The following is a 22,083-nucleotide window of genomic DNA, read 5'->3' as shown; positions in this document are numbered from 1 at the left end:
AAAAACCTGCGCCAAGTCCAAGGATGCATGGCCAATATTGACCACGAGAGGGCGCCTCTGACATCCCCGCAGAGGGAGAAGCAGAGACTGGGCTAAAGAACCAGCCCCAGGCAGAAGGGGCCTTTAAGACAAGCAAGTCCACCTGCCTCATTTTACATGTGGAGAAACTGAGACTCAGAGCAGGGGATGGCATGGTCCAGAAGAGGGAGGGGGTAGTGGCCACCTTAACAGTTGGACATGGGAAGATGGCTCTTAAACTGCAATTTGAAAGTCAACAGAATTGAGAACAAGGAAGAGGTGTCCCTGCACGCATGCCAGCGCACCCATGCAAGCGTTTTCACCACTGCTACCCCAAAAAGGATTCTTCTCATCACCTGCCACAATGTCCGCATTTCCACCAGTAGAGGCTAACTCTTTTCGATTAAAATCCATCCTGTCCAACCAATCTCTTTGTAACTATATATGTCACAATAAGGTTACAGATTACAGCCTCGGGCCCTGCCGTGGGAGGGTCTGCACTGAGCGCTAGGGATCCTGGTTAAGCCCGCAGGGAATCCACTGTAACCTGGGAACAGGAGAAATCAGCCTCCTTTTCCCATGAGTTTGCCCTTCCCTTTTCCCGGAACACCTTTCCCTATGTCTCCTGGTAAAGAAGCCCCATTCATCCTTCAACCTCCTGTGCTAACCCCCTTGGGAAATTTGCTGATGTCTGTCTCACCACCCTGTTCCCCACAGTTCTTCAGACCCACCCCTGTCTAAACTCCACCCACTCTGATTCAGATGAGTCCCTGTTCCCATACCCTTGTCAGCCTCTGGGAGCTCCTCTTGGGCAGGGACTGTGAGCTCTTCACTGCCACACTCCAGCTGGTGCTGACTGCCCCCTCACTGATCTTTGAATGGAGGGAAGCAACATGGTGCCTGAGAGTTGAGACTGAAATCAGGAGACCTGTGTTCTAGTCCTAGCTCTACCGTTAACTGGTGTAGGTAAGTCCCTTCCCCTCTCTGAGGTTTCTCTACATTTTTTTCTACTCCATGAGAAGAGTGGTCTAGAAGTATCTAGAATCTCTCCCCATTATACATTCTGAGCCTGAGGTTTAACTCATAATGGCCTTCAGAAATGTCAGGTCTTATTAGCAGATAATTCCCAAGCCCTAGAGTGCAGAGTTTTCACCATGTGGGACTGACATTTCTTATTTCTTGGACTACCCTCTGTAAACAGTAGGCAGCAAGAACTCCTCAGTACTGCATGTGGAAGAGGGTTACACAGAAGTGTTTGGACTAGTGCAGCAATGAGGCTGCTATTGCAATGTTCTCAAATTCAGACCATAAAGGATAGAGGCGCCCCAAGAAGTATTAATTTGCATTTTCTTTGGAACTTAGAAAGCTGTTGAGAAGCTACAGTTCTAATAACGGACTGAGAATGGTGACAGGTAGCAGGTAAGATTTTGGAGAACTTTCAGGAGTCCTCAAACTTTGCTTGTCGATGTCTATACCACAGGCCGGCCTGGCCTCTCAGGCCTCAAACCCCTGCTGCCCAAGCCCCCAGCTTTCTCTGGGCCTTCCGGGGCTCTTCCCTCTTGGCAGAAGCACTGATGCCAAGTTCACACTCCTTCTTTAAATAAACACAAGGCAAGCACTGCCTAATTATGCACTGTGGATGATGACTGGAAATGGGACCTGGCTTTCCAGCCTTTGTCTGCAAGGCTACTGGGTTGAAGGGATGGGAGGTGAGGGTGGAGCTCAGGAGACCTGCCAGCTGCCAGCCCAACGGTCTCTGTTTGGGAGACATCAGGGAAAAGACCCATGGAGACAAACAGGGCAAACTGGCCTCCAGCTCACAGGACCCGCTGGGTTGCTTTGCAGGACAGCTGAACCTTGATTGGGCAGGGGCACACAGGCATGCATGCTTCGAAAGCCCCAAATTCTTCCTCCTCCTCCTCTTCTTCATCTCCTTCTCCCAACAAACACAGATGTTTTTCAGGCATGTGGAGAGCCAGGAAGCTCAGACTTGGTGCCCATCCACGTCATCAGACAAGTCACCCCTTTCCTGGCCCTCAATTACCCATAGGTCAAATAGGGACAAGAACTGCCATCCCAGCAACCACATCAGAACTTCCCATGCTCTTCTAGAAGCTTCTGAGCTTTCACAGATGCCATTCCCTGCACCCCCACCCCTTTGCCCTCCTTCCCCAGGCTGCCAGTGCCAAGATCTGGTCTCCTAACTTTTAGCCACGGGGCCTCCCAGCACACCTCGCTCTCTCTGTCCCTGTTGTGCTTAATTTGGGGGGCGGGGGTGGGTGAAGCAAGCTCCCTGAGGTTCCCACACAACCCTCCCGAGCAGAGAGATTCATTACAGTGTCATTTGCAATAGAATAAAATTAGAATTTAAATGTTTGCAATTAAGGAATAATAGTTCTAATAATAATGAAAATGATACTTTCTGAGCGCTTCCCACATTCACACCATAATCACATTGAACCCTTACAAGCAACTTATAAAGTAGATACTATTATTATCCCCGTTTTACAGAGGAGAAAACTGAGGCACAGAGAGGTTAAGTGGTGGGGCTAGGATATGATACATTCATTTTGAGGCATTTTTCTGTGATCATTTACAATTGTGAAGTTGTGCAAAAGTTTAATGTCATGAGAGGAGGCGTGTATGCATATGTATGTCTATACTGTATAAAATAAAATGTGTAAAAATAAAATATGTCTTTCAAAGTTGAATAAAAATACACCAAAATGCCCACGGCCGTTTCCTCTGGGCAATGAGTTAATGGAGAATTTCTAATTCTTTTTTTGTACTGCTGTATTTTCCACATTTTCTACAATAAGCGAGTGTTCTTTTAAATCATGAAAAGAAGCAGGCATCATATATTGCCTGTGAGGCATTTGGGAGTAGAAACTCAGACCTGAGTTAGGTCTGAAGAGAATGCAAGGGGTGAAGAAACCTTGATCTCGAAAGTGCTCTTCCAAGCTCCTCTCTGACTTGGCTTCCTGGGCGGAGAGGCTGTTTTAGCCACACAGGATTCATTCATTCATTCATTCATTCATTCACTCATTCACTGATCAGTTGCCCTGCACGTCGTGGGGGGGATACAGAGACAAACAGGCTTGTTTCCAGTCCTCTGTGAGCTCAGACTGGGTGATGCTGAGGGCCCAGGCAGGGAAGGACAGGGGCAGGGTGGTCACTGGGCAGCAGGAGAGGGGTCAGAGGCAGAAAGGACAGCACAGGGAAGGGTTGGGACGAGGCGCATACAGGACCATCCAAGGTTCTGACTTGGGCTGTGCATGTCAGTGGAGCCCCTCAGGGTCACCCTGTTCATGGCTACATCCCCAGAATAAATGAATAAATAAGCGAACAAACAAACAGAGAAAGAAAGAAGACAAATGACAAACGGCAGAAAACACTTGCAACCTGTATCACAGGCAAAGCATGAATGTCTCTAGTGAATGGCTTCTAAAAGTAGAGAAGGGAAAAACGAACAACTTCCTAGACAAATGGGCTAAAAATATTAACAGACAATGGCCGGGCGCAGTGGCTCACGCCTGTAATCCCAGCACTTTGGGAGGCTGAGGCGGGTAGATCACGAGGTCAGGAGATTGAGACCATCCTGGCTAACACGGTGAAACCCCGTCTCTACTAAAAATACAAAAAAAAAAAAAAAAATTAGCTGGGCGTGGTGGCCTGCACCTCTAGTCCCAGCTGCTGGGGAGGCTGAGGCAGCAGAACAGCATGAACCTGGGAGGCAGAGCTTGCAGTGAGTCGAGATCGCACCACTGCACTCCAGCCTGGGTGACAGAGCAAGACTCAGTCTCAAAAACAAAACAAAAATATTAACACACAATTCACAGACAAAGAAATGCAAATGGCTCATAACCCTGTGAAAATATGATCAACATTGCTCAAACAAAAGAAATGCAAATTAAAACTACTCAGAGATACCATTTCCTACCTATCAGATTGTCAAAAATCCAAAAGTTTGGCAATGCATTCTGCTGGCACTCCTAGCCAGAGCTGACGGGAATGCAAAATGATGCAGGCCTTCTGCAGGGGAATTTGGCAATAGCTATAGCAAAATTGCATGTATGTTCAACCTTTGACTCAAGAATCCCATTGCTGGGAATCTACCGTAGAGAGACACTAGCAAAAATACCAAAAGGTGTAAGCACAGGCTTTTTATTGCAATTCAATTTGTAATCGCTAAAGAATGGGAGCAAGGAAAATGTCCATCAGCAGAGGCCTGTGGTTATCAGCACAATGGAGGACTCTGTGGCTGTAAAGGGGACTGAGGACAATCTTGACCAACTACTAGGGAGAGACAGCTGGAGTGGGATGGACAGTGAATACAGCAAGAGGCAGAGAAGTGTCATTGCATGCTAATCCTTACCTAAAAGGAAGGAAGAGCCAAACGTGGAGGCGTATACCTGTAGTCCCAGCTACTCGAGGTTGAGGCAGGAGGATTGCTTGAATTTAGGATTTCAAGTCCAGCCTGGGCAACATAGTGAGATCCTCATCTCAAACAAAAAAAAAAAAAAAGGAGGGAGGGATACGAATACATATGCATTATGTATGTGATACATATTAAATTAATGTAATAATAAAGAATAATGTTTAAAAATTAATAGTTATGGGGAAGGGAAAGGATTGAAAGGGGCATAAAAGCTAGACCTTTCTGGATATATTTGTATGATAGATTTTGGAACCAGAAATAAAATTTAAAATCTTTAAATAAATTTCTAAATAAAAAGCTTTAAAAATTCTAAAAACCTAAAGTAAAATAAAGCAAATAAATCTACACATTGAATTAATTATTTAACCACCATTCAAATTAAACTGAGGCCAGGCCCAGTGGCTCACCTCTGCCAGCACTTTAGGAGGCTGAGGCAGGAGGATCACTTGAGGCTGGGAGCTCTAGCCCAGCCTGGGGAACATAGCAAGACCCTGTTTCTAATATATATATTAGCCAGGTGTGCTGCTGTGCACCTGTAGTCCTGGCTTCTCAGGAGGCTGATGCAGGAGGATTGAGGAATTTGAGGCTGCAGTGAGCTAAGATCATGCTACTGCACTTCAGCCTGGGTAACAGATCTGGACCCTGTCTCTAAAAATAAGAAAAAAGTAAACTGAGGCACAATAAAATTTTAAAGAATTTATAGGAGCAAACAACAATTCATGAATTGGGCAGTTCCAAACCAGAAGTGAGGGAACACAAGGGATGGGTTTTTATACAAGGAACACAGAAGTAAAGCAAAGAAAATATTTGATTGGTTACAGTTATACAGTTGCCTTATTTAATCTATCCCATAGGAAAGTCCCTCATTATATAATTATAAGTTTGTTGGCTACTTCTGAGCCTAACTGGTTTTGTTTGCTCAGGGATTCTTTAGGCCTGGTCTTCATTTTAATTTACTTTAATACCACAAAGAGAAAAACTATTCCAAATGACTTTCAAACAAAGTAACTTAAAGACACATAAACCAATTGGAACACAGTGACCTTATTTGTATCCTGATTCAAACAAACAAGTTGAAAAAAGAGAAATGATGACATTCATGAGACACTGGGAAATGTGAGCACTGACTGGAGAGTTCATGATAGGAAGAGTGATAATGGCACACATTTTATATGTGATAAGGGTATTGTGGCTTTTTAAAAAAGGAATCCATGGCCGGGCATGGTGGATCACGCCTGTAATCCCAGCACTTTGGGAGGCCGAGGCAGGTGGATCACCTGAGGTCGGGAGTTCGAGACCAGCCTGACCAACATGGAGAAACCCTGTCTCTACTAAAAATACAAAATTACCCAGGTGTGGTGTCACATGCCTGTAATCCCAGCTACTCGGGAGACTGAGGCAGGAGAATGGCTTGAACCCGGGAGGTGGAGCTTGCGGTGAATCAAGATCGCACCATTGCACTCCAGCCTGGGCAACAAGAGTGAAACTCCATCTCAAAAGCAAAACAAACAAAGAAAAGGAATCCATGTCTTTTAGACATAATATTGAATAGGAATGAAATGATACGACATCTAGGATTCGCTTCAGAAGTAACTTGGTCATTGTGGGAGAGCAGGGGATGAAACAAGATAAGCCATGAAAAGCCAGGTGTGGTGGCACCTGTAGTCCCAGCTACTCCGGAGGCTGAGGCAGAAGGATCCTTTCAGCCTGGGAGGTTGAGGCCGCAGTGAGCTGATATCATGCCACTGCACTCCAGCCTGGGTGACAGAGTGAGGCCCTGTCAAAAAAAAAAAAAAAAAAAGTCTGGGTGCGGTGGCTCATGCTTGTAATCTCTTGTAATCTCAGCACTCAGCACTTTGGGAGGCTGAGGTGGGCAGATTACCTGAGGTCCAGAGTTAGACACCAGCCTGACCAACATGGAAAAACCCTGTCTCTACTAAAAATATAAAATTAGCCAGGCATGGTGGCGCATGCCTGTAATCCCAGCTACTCAGGAGGCTGAGGCAGAAGAATCGCTTGAATCCGGGAGGTGGAGGTTGCTGTGAGCCGGGATTGCACCATTGCACTCCAGCCAGGGCAACAAGAGTGAAACTCCACCTCAAAAAAAAAAAAAAAAAAAAAAAAAGATAAGCCATGAAAGGGTAATTGACGAAACTGGTGATGAGCACACGGAGACCCATTATATTAATACTATTCTTTCTACTTTTGCAGATATTACCAATTTTCATAATAAAACATTTTTAAAGACTAGCACCTGATAAAGATGTGGAAAAATCAAAATGCAAACATTACTAGAGGAATGCAAAAGCTCTAGTACTTTTGCATTCCTACTTTTGCATTTTTTTTTTGTTTGAGATGAGGCTCTCACTATGTTGCCTAGGCTGGACTTGAAATCCTAAATTCAAGCAATCCTCCTTTCACTTTGGAAAATGGTTTGGCAGTTTTTATAGAATATGCTTAATGTACAAGCCATCACTTCCACACCCAGCAGCTACCCTAGTGAAGGGAAAACTTTCATTTGCCCAAAACAGTGATGCTTCCAGTTAGGAATAAGATTCTTCCTGGTATTTTTCAAGACACTCAAATTAAAATTTAAACTTCAGAGGTTATTATGGCTTTGGAGATGGTACAGCCATTCTGAATAAGAATTTGGCATATTTCTTTTTCTTTTTTTCTTTCTTTCTTTCTTTTTTTTTTTTTTTCCTTTGGCAGAGTCTTACTCTGTCACCCAGGCTGGAGTGCAGTGGCGCAGTCTCGGCTCACTGCAACCTCCACCTCCAACCCCACTGTGTTCAAGAGACTCTCCTGCCTCAGCCTCCCAAGTAGCTGGGATTACAGGTGCGCGCCACTACCACCCAGCTAATTTTTTTATTTTTGGTAGACACAGGGTTTCACCATGTTGGCAATGCTGGTCTCGAACTCCTGACCTCAAGTGATCTGCCTGCCTCAGCCTCCCAAAGTGCTAGGATTACATGCGTGAGCCACCGCGCCCGGCCAGAATTTGGCAGATTTCTATCAAGTGAAACATACATTTACATAAGACCCCACAATTCCACTTCTAGGCGTCTATCCCAGAAAAATGAACATTTATGTTTGCACAAAAACCTACACATGAATGTTTACTGTAGCATTATTAATTGCCAAAAACTAGAAACAACTCAATGCTCATCATCTGGTGAATAGAAAAATATATTGTAGTATATACCTATACACTGCAGTCCATCTCACCAATGAAAAGGAACAACTATGAATACATGCAACCACATAGATGACTCTCAAAAGCATTGATGCCCAGCAAAAGAAGTCAGATTAAAAAGATTATGTGCTGTATGATTTCATGTACATGGCATTCTGGAAAAGGCAAAACTATAGAGACAGAAAACAGATCAGAGGTTGTCTGAGGCTGGAGGTGGGAGGAGGGGTTGACTACAAGGAGCAGGAAAGAATTTTCTGGGTTGATGGAAATATTCTATATCTTGATTGTGGCAGTGTTTACACATCTGTTAAAAATTTGTCAGATCCCATATAACTGTACGTTAAAAAAGGGTTAATTTTACAATATGTAAATTATACTTCAATAAACTCCCACCAAACAAACAAACAAAATACACCTGGCACTTGATAAATGATCAGCTAGGTGTTAGTCGAATGCCTGATGAATGAATGAACCAAGAGGAGTAACCCAGAAGGAGGGGGAGGTGTGGGCGGGAATGTTGGAGATGGGGGTTGAGGAACCTGCAGGACCTCAGGGTTGGGGTGACCAGTGGGCGGCAGGACATTCAGAGTGGAGACCTGGGTACCATGGGACCTTTGACATGGGCTGGCCTTTCCCGCTCTCCTCTCCTGGCCCCTCCCCCTTCCCCAGTGAATGCCGTCCCAGGCTCCTGCCTCCTGGAACGGCAGTCTTCCACTCAAATATGCCCCCCTCAGAAAGATTCACTCACACGGCTGCCCAGGTTCAAGTTCCTCTGGGCTCTGAGAAAGGCCTGTATGTGCAGAGAGAGCCCCAGGCTGCACCTGCCAGGTCTTTCTGGCTCTTTCTAATCTCCGCCCGAGCCTCAGGGAACACAGGACTCCCCTCCTCTGTTGCAGGCACAGGGTGTCACCCACCGCAAGGTGTAAGCAGAGGCCAGAAGACACCTCTTCCCCACTCACTGCCCCTGTCATTGCTCTGAAGAGCCTCATCGAGATGTGGGGGGCAGGGGAGCCTGAGGGAGACACAGTCCCTTTCCTGGGACAGCCTTGGTCTAGGACGATGGGGGAACACAGACCTCACCCCTTAAAGTTCCCAGGCTGGTGGCGATCCACACGCCTTGTGATTCTCAAGCCTGACGACCTCCCCAGTTGGTTAAGCCTTTATTATATCTTACTTTCCTGAAGACGAAGTTACAGAAAATAAACATGCTTTAACTATTGCTAAATATGTTGAGCAAGGAGGGACGAGGTGGGTCCAAACTTGTGAGGGGAAGCCGGGCATGGTGGCACGGGGCTGCAGTCCCAGCTACTTGGGAGGCTGGGACAAGAGGATCGCCTGAGCCCGGGAGGTTGAGCTGCAGCGAGCTATGATCGTGCCACTGCACTCCAGCCTGGAGACAGAGCAAGACCCTGTCTCTAAAAAAAAAAAAAAAAAAAGACTGGGCGCGGTGACTCACGCCTGTAATCCCAGCACTTTCGGAGGCCAAGGTGGGCGGATCACGAGGTCAAGATATAGAGACCACCCTGGCCAACATGGTGGAACCCCGTCTCTGCTAAAAATACAAAAATTAGCTGGGCGTGGTGGCGCGCGCCTGTAGTCCCAGCTACTCTGTAGGCTGAGGCGGAAGAATCGCTTGAACCCGAGAGGCGGAGGTTGCAGTGAGATGAGATGGCGCCACTGCACTCCAGACTGGCGACAGAGCGAGACTCCGTCTCAAAAATAAATAAATAAATAAATAAACCAAACTTGTAAGGGAAAAGCCCAGAGTCAGCAGCGAAGTATTGAGAAGAAAGAAAACTTTTCAAGCAAAAGTAACTGGTCCGGCAGGGTGATTTAATGCCATTGCAAGGCTGTAGGGGGCGCTGGAAGAACACAAGCGTCCATTGGCCGTTCCCGGGAGCGACGCGAGCCTGGGGACAATCTGGAAAGTTTAAGAACAAGGTCCCCGACCCTGGCTGGTCTCTTGTGGCACTTCGCCCATAAAAGTCGAACTATCATCAGACCTGCCTCGCGTGGGTTTTAGGAAGATCAAGTGTGAGCACGTGGGTGAAACACGATAAAGGAGTTATTTGTAAGAAAAAACAAGAAGGCCAGGCGCGGTGGCTCACGCCTGTAATCCCAGCACTTTGGGAGGCCAAGGCGGGCGGATCAAGAGGTCAGGAGATCGAGACCATCCTGGCTAACGCGGTGAAACCCGTCTCTACTAAAAATACAAAAATTAGCTGGGCGTAGTGGCGGGTGCCTGTAGTCCCGGAGCTACTCGAGAGGCTGAGGCAGGAGAATCGCTTGAACCCGGGAGGGGGAGGTTGCGGTGAGCCGAGATCGCGCCACTACACTCCAGCCTGGTCAACAGAGAGAGACTCAATCTAAAAAAAAAAAAAAAAAAAAAAAGGAAAAGAAAAGAAAAGAAAAGAAAAAACAAGAAATGCTGGCTGAAGCCAGGACGAGCACGCAGTCTCGGGTCCTCAGACTGGGTGACTGTTCTAAGCAGGTTCTTGCGACACAGTGGAAGGAGCACCTGCCGTCAAAGGACCCGGTCTCCATCCTGACTCCTATACTGCAGAGCTGTGTGGCCCTGGGCAGCTCCTGGAGCCTGTCGGAGTGTCCGTTTCCCCTTCTGTGAAATGGGGACGGTCCCTCACTGAGCTGCCGCGAGGATTGAATGAGAGAAAAGCGTGGTGTGTCTGGTGCCCACTGTGCCCAGCCCACAGAAGGGGGCCAGAGTAAAATGAAATGAGGAGGGAGGCGCTGGCCTCCCAGAGCTGCTGGGGGAGGCTGGGAGGTAGCGGGGTTGCGGGATTTGGACCGCGGAGCCGGATTCTGCCCAGAGATGTGGGCCCTTGAAAGCTGGCTGGCACCTGGGGCCCAGGGCTGAGGGTTTGGCTTTGCCCTCAAATCCTGGTTGTGCGCCCTGCACACTGGCGGACCCTTCAAGTCACTTTACCTCTCCCACCTCACCTTCCTCTCCTGTAAAGTGGGGTTACTATGCCTGTCGGAAGTTAGAGGCCTGGCAGTTTCTCTCCGAGTCCAGTTTGCCCCTCAGCTCCTCCCGTCCCAGGGACTTTACAGGTGCAGAATCTGAGAGGAGGGAGAGAAGGGAGAAGCTCTGTGTGAGGAACCGGTTCCTGTCTCAGGCCGGGAGAGGGCAAGTGACCTACTCAAAATCTCCCAGGGAGGCAGAGCCAGACGGCTTCCTGGAGGAGGTGGCCTTCTGGAGAGCAAAGAGCCTCCTCTGCACTTAGTAGTATCTTCACGTTTGAATCTGTGTCCCTGTCCCTCGTTCTGTGACTTCCTGTGAGCTCTCCTCTCATTCACCAGGGTGCCTGCCTGTCCTGAGTTCCCAGGACGGGTCATCTTTGAAGGCCTAGACATGAGGCAATCCTGTTTTCAAGGGACTACGAAGTGGAAAGGGCTGTGGGCGCTCTGAACTCGGGGAAGGAGGCTCTGGAGAGTCCAAGACCACAGCCCAAGGGGCATCCTTAAGGAGGGTGCACAGTCAGGAGCAGGGAGAGAAGAGGCTCAGGCCTAGGAAGACTTGTCCCAGGGAGAAAAAAACTAGAAAGCTTTAGGAGAGGTGGTCAGAAGAGCAGGGAACTAACTGCACAGTGTGGAGCTTCCTGGGGTGGGGGCCCCTCCCTCTTAATAGCTGCTTGAAGGCTCCGGGCAAATTCCTGGTGGCTCCAGCTTCAAAATACATCCAGGCCTTATCTTTTAGTGATATATACTGACATTTTTATGGATGAAATAATATGAAGTCTGGGATTTGCTTCAAAATAATCCCGTTGCTGGGAGGGGTGAGAGGTTTATATGAAACATAATTGGCCATGAGCTGATGATGGTTGACGCGGGTCATGAGGACATGGGCGTGCCTCGTCTCACTACATTTGTATACGTTTACCGTTCTCCATCATAAAAAGTTTAGATGTCTAGAGTCAGCCGTTTCTCTCCAGCTCCACGCTCCCTGCCCGGGGCCCAGCGCTCTGGGCTCCTCACGGGGTGGCCTCTTCCGCGGCGCCCTGCAGCCTGTTCTCCACACGGCCGCCAGAGGGAGCCTGCCACGGTGCGCGTCCCATTCACAACCCCGCCTGGCCCCGCTCACTCCCGGCACTTCAAGGCCACACTCCATCTTGTCCCTGTTGCCTCTCAGGCTCCTCTGCAGCCACACTGCCCGGCTGCTCAGCCTCCCGCATGGCCCCAGGGCCCTAACCCTACGTACTGGGGGGAGGTGTCCCTCATGACACTTCAGACATTGCAATAATGCATGGGACTTATACTAAAAGCATTACATATATAGTGTTTATAATATCCCATATTTTATATATGTATATTCGTTGTTTATCTGAAACCCAAATCCAACTGGGCATCCTGTATTACATCTGGCAACCCTCCCCCGAAAACCCTGTGAGCTCCTACCAAAAGAACCATGTTGTCATCCCCAGTGCCCGGTATGCAATGGCGCCCTCTCCTAGCAGAAAATTGCCAAAAAGCAGCCTCTGGGCTAAATCAGCCCCTTACTGCATTGCACAAATTTCAGATCCACTTATTTCAGCGACAAGGTGCCCTTTTGCAGTGCGTGACCTGCCCAACCATTCCTGGCAGCCCTGCAGACCAGAGAAGCAGGTGCTTCCTGAATGAGAGGAGCTGGCCTTCCCAGCTCCTGCTTCTCCCCAACAGAGGGCAAAGACTGGCAGAGAAGGACCATGCCCAGGACTTGGCTGGCTGCCCTCTCTGGGTGCTTTCTCATTCAGGCCCCATCTGGGGTGGGCCTGAATCCTTGCAGTGCCCCATGGGAGTGGGTACAGGGGCTCCGTGCCAGGCGCCAGCTGCCCCCGTGGCCTGAGGGTGCCCACTCAAATCATTCCAAGTAAACATTTGACCAGCCCTGCCCCAGCCCTCATCCCACGCCGACACTTGGCCCTTGTTCCTGGACAGGCCCCTCTGTGTCCCATCCTTTGTGGCTGACATTTCAGCAGGGCCCTGGAAGGACTGGAGTGACCCCATGCCCCATCCCCCTTCTGAAGATAGGCTCAAGGGAGGTGGTCCCAGTGACGGCGGGCTCTTGGCGGGGGAGTCCCAGCAGACGGGCTGTCGCCTGGCTGGGCCAGCCACCTCCTTGAACACCCAGCTTGGGGCACAGGCTGCCGAGCCCACGGGTCTGGCAGTAGAGCCATGGGACGCCAGCTGACTCGGCTGCTTTGTTCCCGGCCTGGAGTGGTCTGAGTGACTGTAGCTCCTTCTTTGCTGAGAAGCCGCAGATAACGCTGGCGACAGGGCCTGATAAAGCGTCTGTCAGAGGCCCCGCTATTCCCACAGGCCCCAAGGGCTCCTGCAGCGCAAGCCTGTCTGGAGATCAGTCCCACCCTGGGGGCTCACCCCTTCCCCACTGGAGGCTGAGGAGCAGGCTGGCACACCCGTCCCTGCCCAGATCTCCCAGCACCCAGGTTTCCACCCCGGTTTCCTGACTCAAAAGTCCCTAAAGCCTCCGGGCCTGAGTGCAGTAAATGAACCCTCTGAATTATTCCCAGGAAGAGAATGTCAAAGACATATCTCCCTCAGTGGAATTCCAGACTGTGGCTCCTGGGGAGCTGTCGGAGATGGGGATATGGAGGCCTGGAACTTCTTTCTGGATCCCCTCAGAGAACATCCCAAGTCACCTTCTATACATCCTCCTTGTTCATGTCACCAGAGCCCACTCTATGCCAGTCTCTGCAATAGGCACAGGGGATGCAGGAACAAATAAGATATGGTCCATGATCACAAGGACCTTCCAGGGAGAGGGGGCTGGAAGATCTGTCCCCCGCACCCCGACCTGACCCAGGCCAGGCCTCCACCCCCAGCCTGCGGAGAGGCCTGGCCTGGAGTAGGAGGTGCATGAGGATGTATCTTGCCAGCCTTGAGGGTGTTGGGGGATCCTGGAGTGAGATTCAGTGCCACAGGACTGGAGAGTTGAAGCTTGAGGGGCCTGTGAATAAGGAGTCTCCAGTCTGATGGAGGAGGCACAGGCCCTGCTCTGGGGAAGACCCAGTCTCATGGGGGTGTCAGAAGAGACCCTTGCAGACACCCAGAGAATAGGCTTTCCTGAAGCCAGCACTCTCAGCGCCCTGAACTCAGGTTCAGGTGTGGGGCCGTGGGCACTGCCAGGGAAGATGCCCCTGACAACGGCAGTCCCCCCTGGGCAGTGTGGGAATGCTGGGCTCCTGGCTGAACCACAGTGAGAACGTGGGACCTGCTGCTGGGGCCACCCTGTGGCAGCCAGCCTGAATAAGGACCTTGCACCTGGTGGAGGTGGAGCTGGAGGTCCTGGCCTAGAGTTAGTCCCAACTCTGCCTCTCCCTCTCTGTGTGACCCTCTCTAAGGGCTGGAGGGCTTCTCTGGGTCACACAGCCAGGGAGAGGGCTGGAGGCTCACAGGGAACTCCTAGAAATAGAAGCACCAAGGGAGAGCCCTAATGGGAGGGCCAGTGTGACTGATGGAAAAGGCCTGGGCCGCCTACCCTCCCCAGGGAGGAGAAGCGCCTCTCCCGGCTGGACTGGGAGTCCTATGGACAGCAGAGAGTAGGCACCCAGGCTGGGTCCTGTGGACCCAGGAACTGCCTTCCCCTACACAGGGCCCCTGGCCAGAGGTTTCAGCCGGGCCTCTCACCAAGATCAGGGACCTTCAGCTCATAGAGGAAGGGCCTGGCATCTCCAGGTGTCCAGGTTACACTCTCGCAGGGCCTCCAGCCCTCTCCTGTAAACCCCATCCCAGCCAGCTTTCCCTGAACCCTCTGCAACCATACAGGCTCAGCCCCAAACACCACGCACCCCAAAACTAACCCTTCCTTCCCTTCTCTGGCTGTGGCTCCCCTCAGTGTCTGCATCCCTTTCAGAGCGGTTCTTCAGCATCATGCCTTCATCCCTCATACAGCCATTGGACACCCAGTGGGGAATAAAATAGACACAGCTCCTGCCTCCAAGGAGTTTCCAGACTCAAGCAGGGGAGCAGACTCTAGCCCAAGAATCAGGCCAATGACTAGAAGACCACAGGGAGTGATCAAGGCGGTGAAGAAGGAAGGAGCCACAGGCTGGATCAGGCAGGGGTCGGAGGGGAGGCCAGCCAGGGGAGGTCTTCCTGAGGAGGTGACATTGAAAATGACACCTGAAGGCTGGCGAGAAGGGAGGGAAGATCAGTTCCTGGGCTGGGTCACGTTCACCTCTGGAATCTTTCCCTTGGGCCACCCGTCTCATGGGTCTGGGGTATTTCCATGGTAAGTGAGAAGGAGTGGCCAAAAGAAGAGTGGGGACCCCAGATTGTAACCCTGAGATAGGAGGGGCTTAGGCTTAGGCGGCAGGGTTTACCCTACATGGTACCTGGCAGACAGGGGTACAATGGATGCCCACCCGATGCTGAGCTGATGATAAAAGTACTCCTCTCGTTAATCTTATAACTGTACCACTTCTTCAGAGCTGAGAGAGGACACAGACCCCTAGCCTTTGCTCAGGAAGGGCCTCCCCACCTGGGCTCGAGGGGGAAGCTTGGCTGGTGCCAAGGTGGCCTAGGTGGCCCAGGCCTTCAGCCTCTCATCTCCCTGCCTCCCCTGGCCTAGCCTGGCTCTGCTGCAGACTTCCCATATTGCCTTGGGGACATCACTCCCCACTCTGGGCCTGGGGCAGTGACTTTGGGGCAGGGTGGAAGGGCATAAGTGGTGCAGCCAGTTGATCCTGGGGGCACTGGGGATGTGGGCCAAGGGAGGCTGGGGGTGGGGATTGCCACTCCATTGTTGGGTGAACCCAAGGCTCCCAAGCTCATCTCTGGTGGACCTTGCCCCTCTGTAAAGGGAGGGGATGGCTCCCCACTCCAGGGTCTCTGCTGCACACACCAGGCCTGGGGACCTGAACGCTAGCAAGCTGCGTCATTGAATGATGATAATCAGCAGCTGGGCATAGTGGCTCATGCCTGTAATCTCAGCATTTTGGGAGGCCAAGGCAGGTGGATCACCTGAGGTCAGGAGTTCGAGACCAGACTGGTCAACATGGCAAAACCCTGTCTCTACTAAAAATACACACACACACACACACACACACACACACACACACACACACAAATTAGCTGGGCATGGGTGGTGCGTGCCTGTAATCCCAGCTACTTGGGAGACTGAGACAGGAAGATTGCTTGAACCTGGGAGGCGGAGGTTGCAGTGAGCTGAGATTGCGCCACGGCACTCCAGCCTGGGTGACAGAGCGAGACTGTAGTCTCAAAAATAAATAAATAAAATTAATGATGATAAGCACAATAATTTTCTCATCACAAAGCAAAGCAACAGAAAAAATAAAGCAAAAACAAAAAAATACAAAACAAAACAAAACAAAACCCAACAGCACAGCACAATATCACCTGACCCTGGCTGGTGCTCTGTCACGGTGGTCACAGCAGTCGATGGCAGTTGATGTCAAAACAGTCTAGACAAAGCCTGGCTGCTGGAGGGCACCCCTTGTCCCTCAGAGTGGCACTAGGGAGGCAGGAACATTCACAAGGCCCTATTTTGAGGCAGGCATAGCTACATTCTCAATCCCATTTATCCTTCACCAGCTCGCTAGGCATTTTGAAACACCTTTTTATTGAAATATAACATACGTCTGGTACAACTTGCATGAATCTCAAATTATTTGATGAGCTCAAGCTTAATGAATTTTCACATAGGTATAAACCCATGTGATACCAACTAGAATCAAGATATAAACCACTTCCAGCCAGGCGTGGTGGCTCACACCTGTAATCCCAGAATTTTTGGTGGCTGAGGCAGGCAGATCACCTGAGATCAGGAGTTCGAGACCAGCCTCACCAATATGGTGAAACCCCATCTCTACTAAAAATACAAATATTATCTGGGCATGGTGCTGGGCGCCTGTAGTCCCAGCTACTCGGGAGGCTGAGACAGGAGAATTGCGTGAACCTGGGAGGCGGAGGTTGCAGTGAGCCGAGATGGTGTCACTGCCCTCCAGCCTGGGCAACAGAGCCAGACTCCATTTCAAAAAAAAAAAAAAAAAAAGGCTATAAACCACTTCCAACATGCCAGAAGCTTCCCTCAGTCCCCCTCCCAGTCAGCACCCCCAAGGGTAACCACTATCCTGACCTTTCTCACCACAGACTAGCCTCACCTGTTATTGAATTCGGCTTAATGGAATCACACAGCTCCTATTCTTGTGTGTCTGGCTTCTTTCACTCAACAAAATGTCAGATTCTTCCACGTTGCTGCATCTATCAGCAGTTTCATTATGTTGTTGCTATGAAATATTCCACTCTACAACTATCCCACACGGCTTCAGCCATTCTTCTGATGATGAGCCTCAGGGTTGACTCATTTGGGGCCATTGTGAACAACCCCCACGAACACCTTGTCCGTGCCTTTTGGACACGTGTGCTCATTTCTCTTGGGTCTGTAGCTAGGAGTGTACCTGCTGGGTCAGGGGGTGGTGGACCCTTAGCTTTCATAGCTATTTGTGCTGCCAGTATATTTAGCCAGATATGGAAACGGAAGTTCAGAGCGTTTAAGTAGCTCTTCCAAGTTCATGCAGTCACTCAGAGGTGAAGCCTAGAATTCAAAGATTTCTGAGTCCAGCATCTTCTCACAGGAGGCCAGCTTCCTCTCTCATCCTTTTCATCCTGCCTTTTAGGACAGGTGAAAGGGGTGTGAGGATGTGGCAGAAGCAGAGAAGCCCCTCAGACAGCCTGCTCTGTAATGAGCTCCTGATGTCCACGCTGCCTGGGACAGCACGGTGCCACCCAAGGCAGGGGCTGGACAGAGGCTGACACGGAATAAGTGGGGCAGCTCGGTGCCTTGAGGGTCCCCCATCCGCCCACCCCCCCACTGTGCGGCCCCTCCCTTCTCCAGTCTCATCCCTGCCCACGCGCTCATCTGTCCCCCTCACTCCAGCCACACTGCGTTCCTTGCTATCCCCCAAAACACCAGGCATGTTTCTCCCTCATGGCCTTGACACTTACAGGCCCCTCTTTCTAAATTTCTCCCCCAGACATCAGCAAGGAACCCCCGACCCGCTACCCCCACTTTTTCATGGCCGCTGCTCAACTACCTGGTCTAAAAGAACACCCCCATCATGCACCACCGCCTCACCTTGATACCTCCATCTGACCTTCTGTCTTGTGTATATTGATTTACTGCCTGTCTCCCCACCCCAGAAAGTGAGCTCCAGGAGGCAGGGCCCCACCATCTTGTTTGCTGCTCTACCTTCAATGTGTGGGGCAGTGCCTGGCACCTTGCAGGTTCTCTAGAGATATTGAATGCAAGAAAGAATGAATGAATGAGCTAATGAACAAATGAAACGCAACCCCTCAGAGCAGCTGGCAGCAAACATGCAGGTGAGGAGAGGCTTTTGATGCCAGGCCTGGCTGTTGATGTCCGAGTCTTGAGAAAAAGCTCCTACCTAGGCATTGGTCTAGAGCCCTGGAGCAGAGTGAGGCGGTGCCCACCCTGACCTTAGTGGCCTCCAGGTGCACAACCATCATAGCCAGCTCTCACGGGAGCCAGACAGACAAGGGCACCAATGTGGATCTGGGCCCCAGCTGGGCTGATCTGTCAGGATAGGGAGATTTAGGATTCCTGGGTGACAAAGGGGAGCTGATAGCTACAGATCTCTCCAGATGTCTTTTCCCTGGGCGGAGAGGGGAGGCAGAGATCATCTTCAAAGCAGGTGGGTCTACGAATAATTGGAGGGGTCCTGGAAGGATCCCATTCCCCCCAACCCCTGCCTAAAGTACATTCCTCATTCCTCATTGCTAATGTTGGCCTGGGAAGCCTTTGCTGGCTTATGTCACAGTTTTGGGCCCCAGTTTGTTCCATCTGTAAAATGGGCAGAACTAGGCTATGAAGTACCATAGAGAAACAGCCCTAGATCAAGGGTCTCTGACATGAATTCTCATCCTCAGGACTGCTGTGTAGCCTCTGGCAAAGCCCTGCCATCTCTGGGCTTCAGATTCCCCACATGTCAAATGAAGGAGTATCTCCAAAGACTGACATCCTCTCTTAGTCGCTGTAAAGCGACTGAGCTCCCGTCCTTTCTCAAGGAAGGGCAAGTTTAGCAAAGGAGGCAGGGAGGGGAAGCCTGGGGAAGAGGGTGAGAATGTGAAGTATGAACCTCACCAGTGTGACAGCTTGGCCCTGACCTGGGCTTGCTGGAGGCCTCCTCTCTGAACTCCACCAAATGCCTGAGACTCGGATAGTGTGGCTGGCTGGGTGGGGAGCTGTCCAATCAACTGCTCCTCTCTCCTCCTGTCAACGGGGCTCTGAGTTCCAAAGGGCGTCCAACAGGAAACCCCAGCTGGGACCCCTCTCCCAGAGTTTGTCCAAGCTGCGCACAGTTCTACCATGGGCCCCCTCGTTGCCACCAGGATGGGGAAAGGTAAATTCGCTTTTCACTCCGAGTCAGAGAGACCTAGTTTTCAGATGCAGAAGGTGAGGTCTTCTTAGGGAACCCAGAGATCATTTGTTTGAGCACATAAGGATGCCCAAGTCTGGGCTTGCAACATTTTGGTGTTACTTCATTGAATCCTCACACAAACCTGTAAAGAACAGAGCATTATTCTCCCCATGTGACAGACGCAGGAACTACCACTCAGAGAGGCTAAGTGATGTGTGCAAGGTCACACAGCTAGTGAGTACCAGGGCCAGAATGTAAAGCCAGGTCTGCCTGACTCCAGATCTGGGCTTCACGCTTCCTCTCTTGTCAGAGGAAGGGGTGCAATCTTGTGCTTTGGGGGCTCAGGAGCCTGAGAGATCATTCTACCAGCAAGGGCTGGGAACTTTGCACCTGCAGTCTGCTTTATCTAAAAAACCTTCCCTTAGAAAATTGCCTTGCTAAATCTCACGCTTTGCTCAGGTCTCAGCTTAAAGGGCACTGTCCCAGGAAGCCCTTCCTCTGGGGCCACTGAGTCTCAAATAGAACAGCTCCCCCGTCTCCCACAATGCCTTTTCCCCTTGCCTCAGGTGATGAGGAGTCTCCCTGACACCCATCACCATCTGCAGCACTATCTTGTCTGAGATGTGTATTCAAGTGTTTATTGCTTGTCTCCACCAAAAGAACATGAGGCTTTGCCTGTCTCATTCACCCCTCCATCCTCAAGGCCTAGCAGCATGTCTAGCGCATAGTAGGTGCTCAGTCAATATTTGTTGGCGGAAGGCATGAGTGACTGCCTTTTTCCTTAATAAGTTTAAGAAGAAGGAGTATCTATGATCTGCTAGGCCTGGAGGAAAGAGTTGACCCTTGAACCCTTGGACGTCTCATTCCAAGCGTCGCCGCTGTCAGTTGTCAGCCCAGCGCTTGCACGGGGAGCCGAGGCTCTCTCTGCAGCTTCCAGGGCGCAGGACATGAGTGGCAGATGAAGCAATTCACTAAGGGCTGGGGCGCTGGCCCCACGGCGCTCTGGCCCGGAGCCCAATGCTCTTTCTAAGAGCCGGGGCAGGGCCCCGCTACGGGAGAGGGGTGCCGAGAGCCCCGCGTCCTCGCCGCGCGTCCCCCGCGGAGCCCCGGGCCGCCCGACCTGGCCCCGCGCCCGGAGCCGCGCCCTCCCTCCCCGCCCGCGCCGGCGCCGCCGCCGCCCCCTGCCCTGCGCGCGGCCCCCGCGCTGCCAGCGGCTCCTTCCCCAGCGGGGGCCGTTCTCGAGCTCAGTACCGGCGCACTCGGACCCGGGCCGCCCGTGACCCCCCGGGATCCCCCGGACCCCGGCCCGCCCGCCCCGGGCCCCCAGACTCGGGGCGCCCGCAGGCCCCGCGGGGCACGGGAACCGGCAATTTCCCCGGCCGCCGCCCCGCCCGCCGCCCGCTCTGTACTTAGCTGATGACGGGTTCCGCGGCCCTCGGCGGGGCGGGTGGCGGGTTCAGGGCGGGCGAAGCCGGCCCAGCCGGTCCCGTGCTCGGCTCGCAGGCGGCCGCCGGGCCTGTGTCATCCACCAGGAATTTCTGTTTTCCCCTCCGCGGGGCTGGAAGAAAAAACAATAATTAGGTCACTGGGCAGGCGGCAGAGAGGGTGTGGGACAGGCCAGTGGCGCCCTGTTGGGCAGGGAAAGGGTTTGGGAGGACGGCGGGGAGGGGAGGGCCCCGCAGCGCTCTCCTTCCTGCCCTCCCCAGCCTCCCGCGGGTGCAAGCAGGGGCAGCCCTGACCGTCCCCACCGTTCACTCATTCCACAGGCGTTTGCTGTGCACCTCTTGTGCACCAAATTCGATGCTAGGCGCTGGGAATTCAGCAGTGAGCAAAAGAGAAGGAAGGACCTGGTGAAAAAGATAAAAAGACAGAGAGGCAGTCAGGCGGTGACCACACGGTGGGAGGCCACTGCACAGGCAGAGGCGTTTCAGGGTATATGGACGGGAGCCAGGTAGTTATGGAAGGCTTCCTGGAGGAAGTGGCACCTGCTCAGAGGCCTGAAAGAGGAATGGGCCTTGTTGTGGGGAGAGGCAGGTTGGGTACTCCAGGTAGAAGGAGCGGCAGGTGCAAAGGCTTGGCGGTGAGAAGACAGGGCACACGGCAAGGACTGAAAGCACAGCAGAGAAGCATCGCATGAACTTTCAATCCTCAGGGTGACTCTGACGATTAAAGACGCATATTTTTGATCCCATGAGGACCCTAAACGCAAGCCAGCGACTTTATCTGGTGCTCAACTGAAGATATAGCCACATTTTCCCACATTGGAGGAAGACTGTTTTGGACTTACTGAGAGGTACTAAGTCCGGGTACTGTACCTATGAGTGACTGAAGACATTTTCAAGGGGTCGTCTGGACTTAGCACATTTATCTCCTTCACTCCGACCTTAAGACAACCCCCACTGTGAAGGACAGGATGCCAGGACAGGGGCACCTGCCTGAGTCATTTGGAGGATGAGCCGTGAGACTGGGAAGGTGGACAGCATCGGGGTATAAAGGATCTTGCGGGTTATGGTACCGACTTCAGACTTAAGAGAACCAGGGAGCCATGGTTTACAGCAGGGAGGTGGGGGACAGGATCTGATTTCGGAAAACTTAATAGCTCACAATAGCCACGATTTATTTGGCTCCTATTACATGCTGGCACAGGACAGGTCTGATATTTTACATACATTTTAGTAAACTTGACAATAATCCTGTGAGTATGGTGCTAAGTCTCATTTCATAGAAGAGAAAACAGGCCAGGGAGGTCATTTGCCACACGTCTCTTGCCAATAAGGGGCACACCCAGATCTCCAATGTGCTGGGCCATGTTCTGGGAGCTCTGGTGAAACAGACAGGCTCTGCCCTTACCCTCAAGGAACCTGTTTTCTGCTGGGGGAGATGAATGTGAGGTGCCTTAGTCAGGGTCATGTCAGAGTGGAGTTGACTGCTCTCTGGTGTGGCCCTCCAGGGGTAGATTGTCCAAGACTGGGATGGCGATCCTACTCCAGGGTCATCCGGGAACCCAGGCTCCTTCC

The 22,083-nt window shown here is 51.5% G+C and overlaps 2 long non-coding RNA genes across 2 annotated transcripts in view, besides 1 other annotated feature; one reads left to right on the top strand and one right to left on the bottom strand.

Moving 5' to 3' along the window:
* Positions 1-20,195, bottom strand: part of LOC105376718 (uncharacterized) — a 29,383-nt gene extending 9,188 nt beyond the window's left edge. The window contains exon 1 of the long non-coding RNA XR_932381.3: positions 4,394-20,195. This is a non-coding gene — a long non-coding RNA (uncharacterized LOC105376718). The remainder of the gene's footprint in view (positions 1-4,393) is intronic.
* Positions 11,623-11,702: a silencer, noted in NCBI's record as "silent region_6570". NCBI's record gives its function as "represses an Ori minimal core promoter by ATAC-STARR-seq in GM12878 lymphoblastoid cells {active_cell/tissue: GM12878}" and the evidence as "EXISTENCE:reporter gene assay evidence [ECO:0000049][PMID:35858748]".
* Positions 20,196-20,595: 400 nt separating the features above from the next.
* Positions 20,596-21,765, top strand: LOC105370869 (uncharacterized). Its single transcript, XR_932380.3, has 2 exons — positions 20,596-20,647; positions 20,833-21,765. It is a non-coding gene; the product is annotated as an uncharacterized LOC105370869 (long non-coding RNA).
* Positions 21,766-22,083: the final 318 nt, after the last annotated feature.

Source organism: Homo sapiens, chromosome 15 (assembly GCF_000001405.40).
Source record: "Homo sapiens chromosome 15, GRCh38.p14 Primary Assembly".
NCBI classification, from domain to species: Eukaryota; Metazoa; Chordata; class Mammalia; order Primates; family Hominidae; genus Homo; species Homo sapiens.
This window is presented reverse-complemented; position numbering and strand designations above follow the sequence as displayed.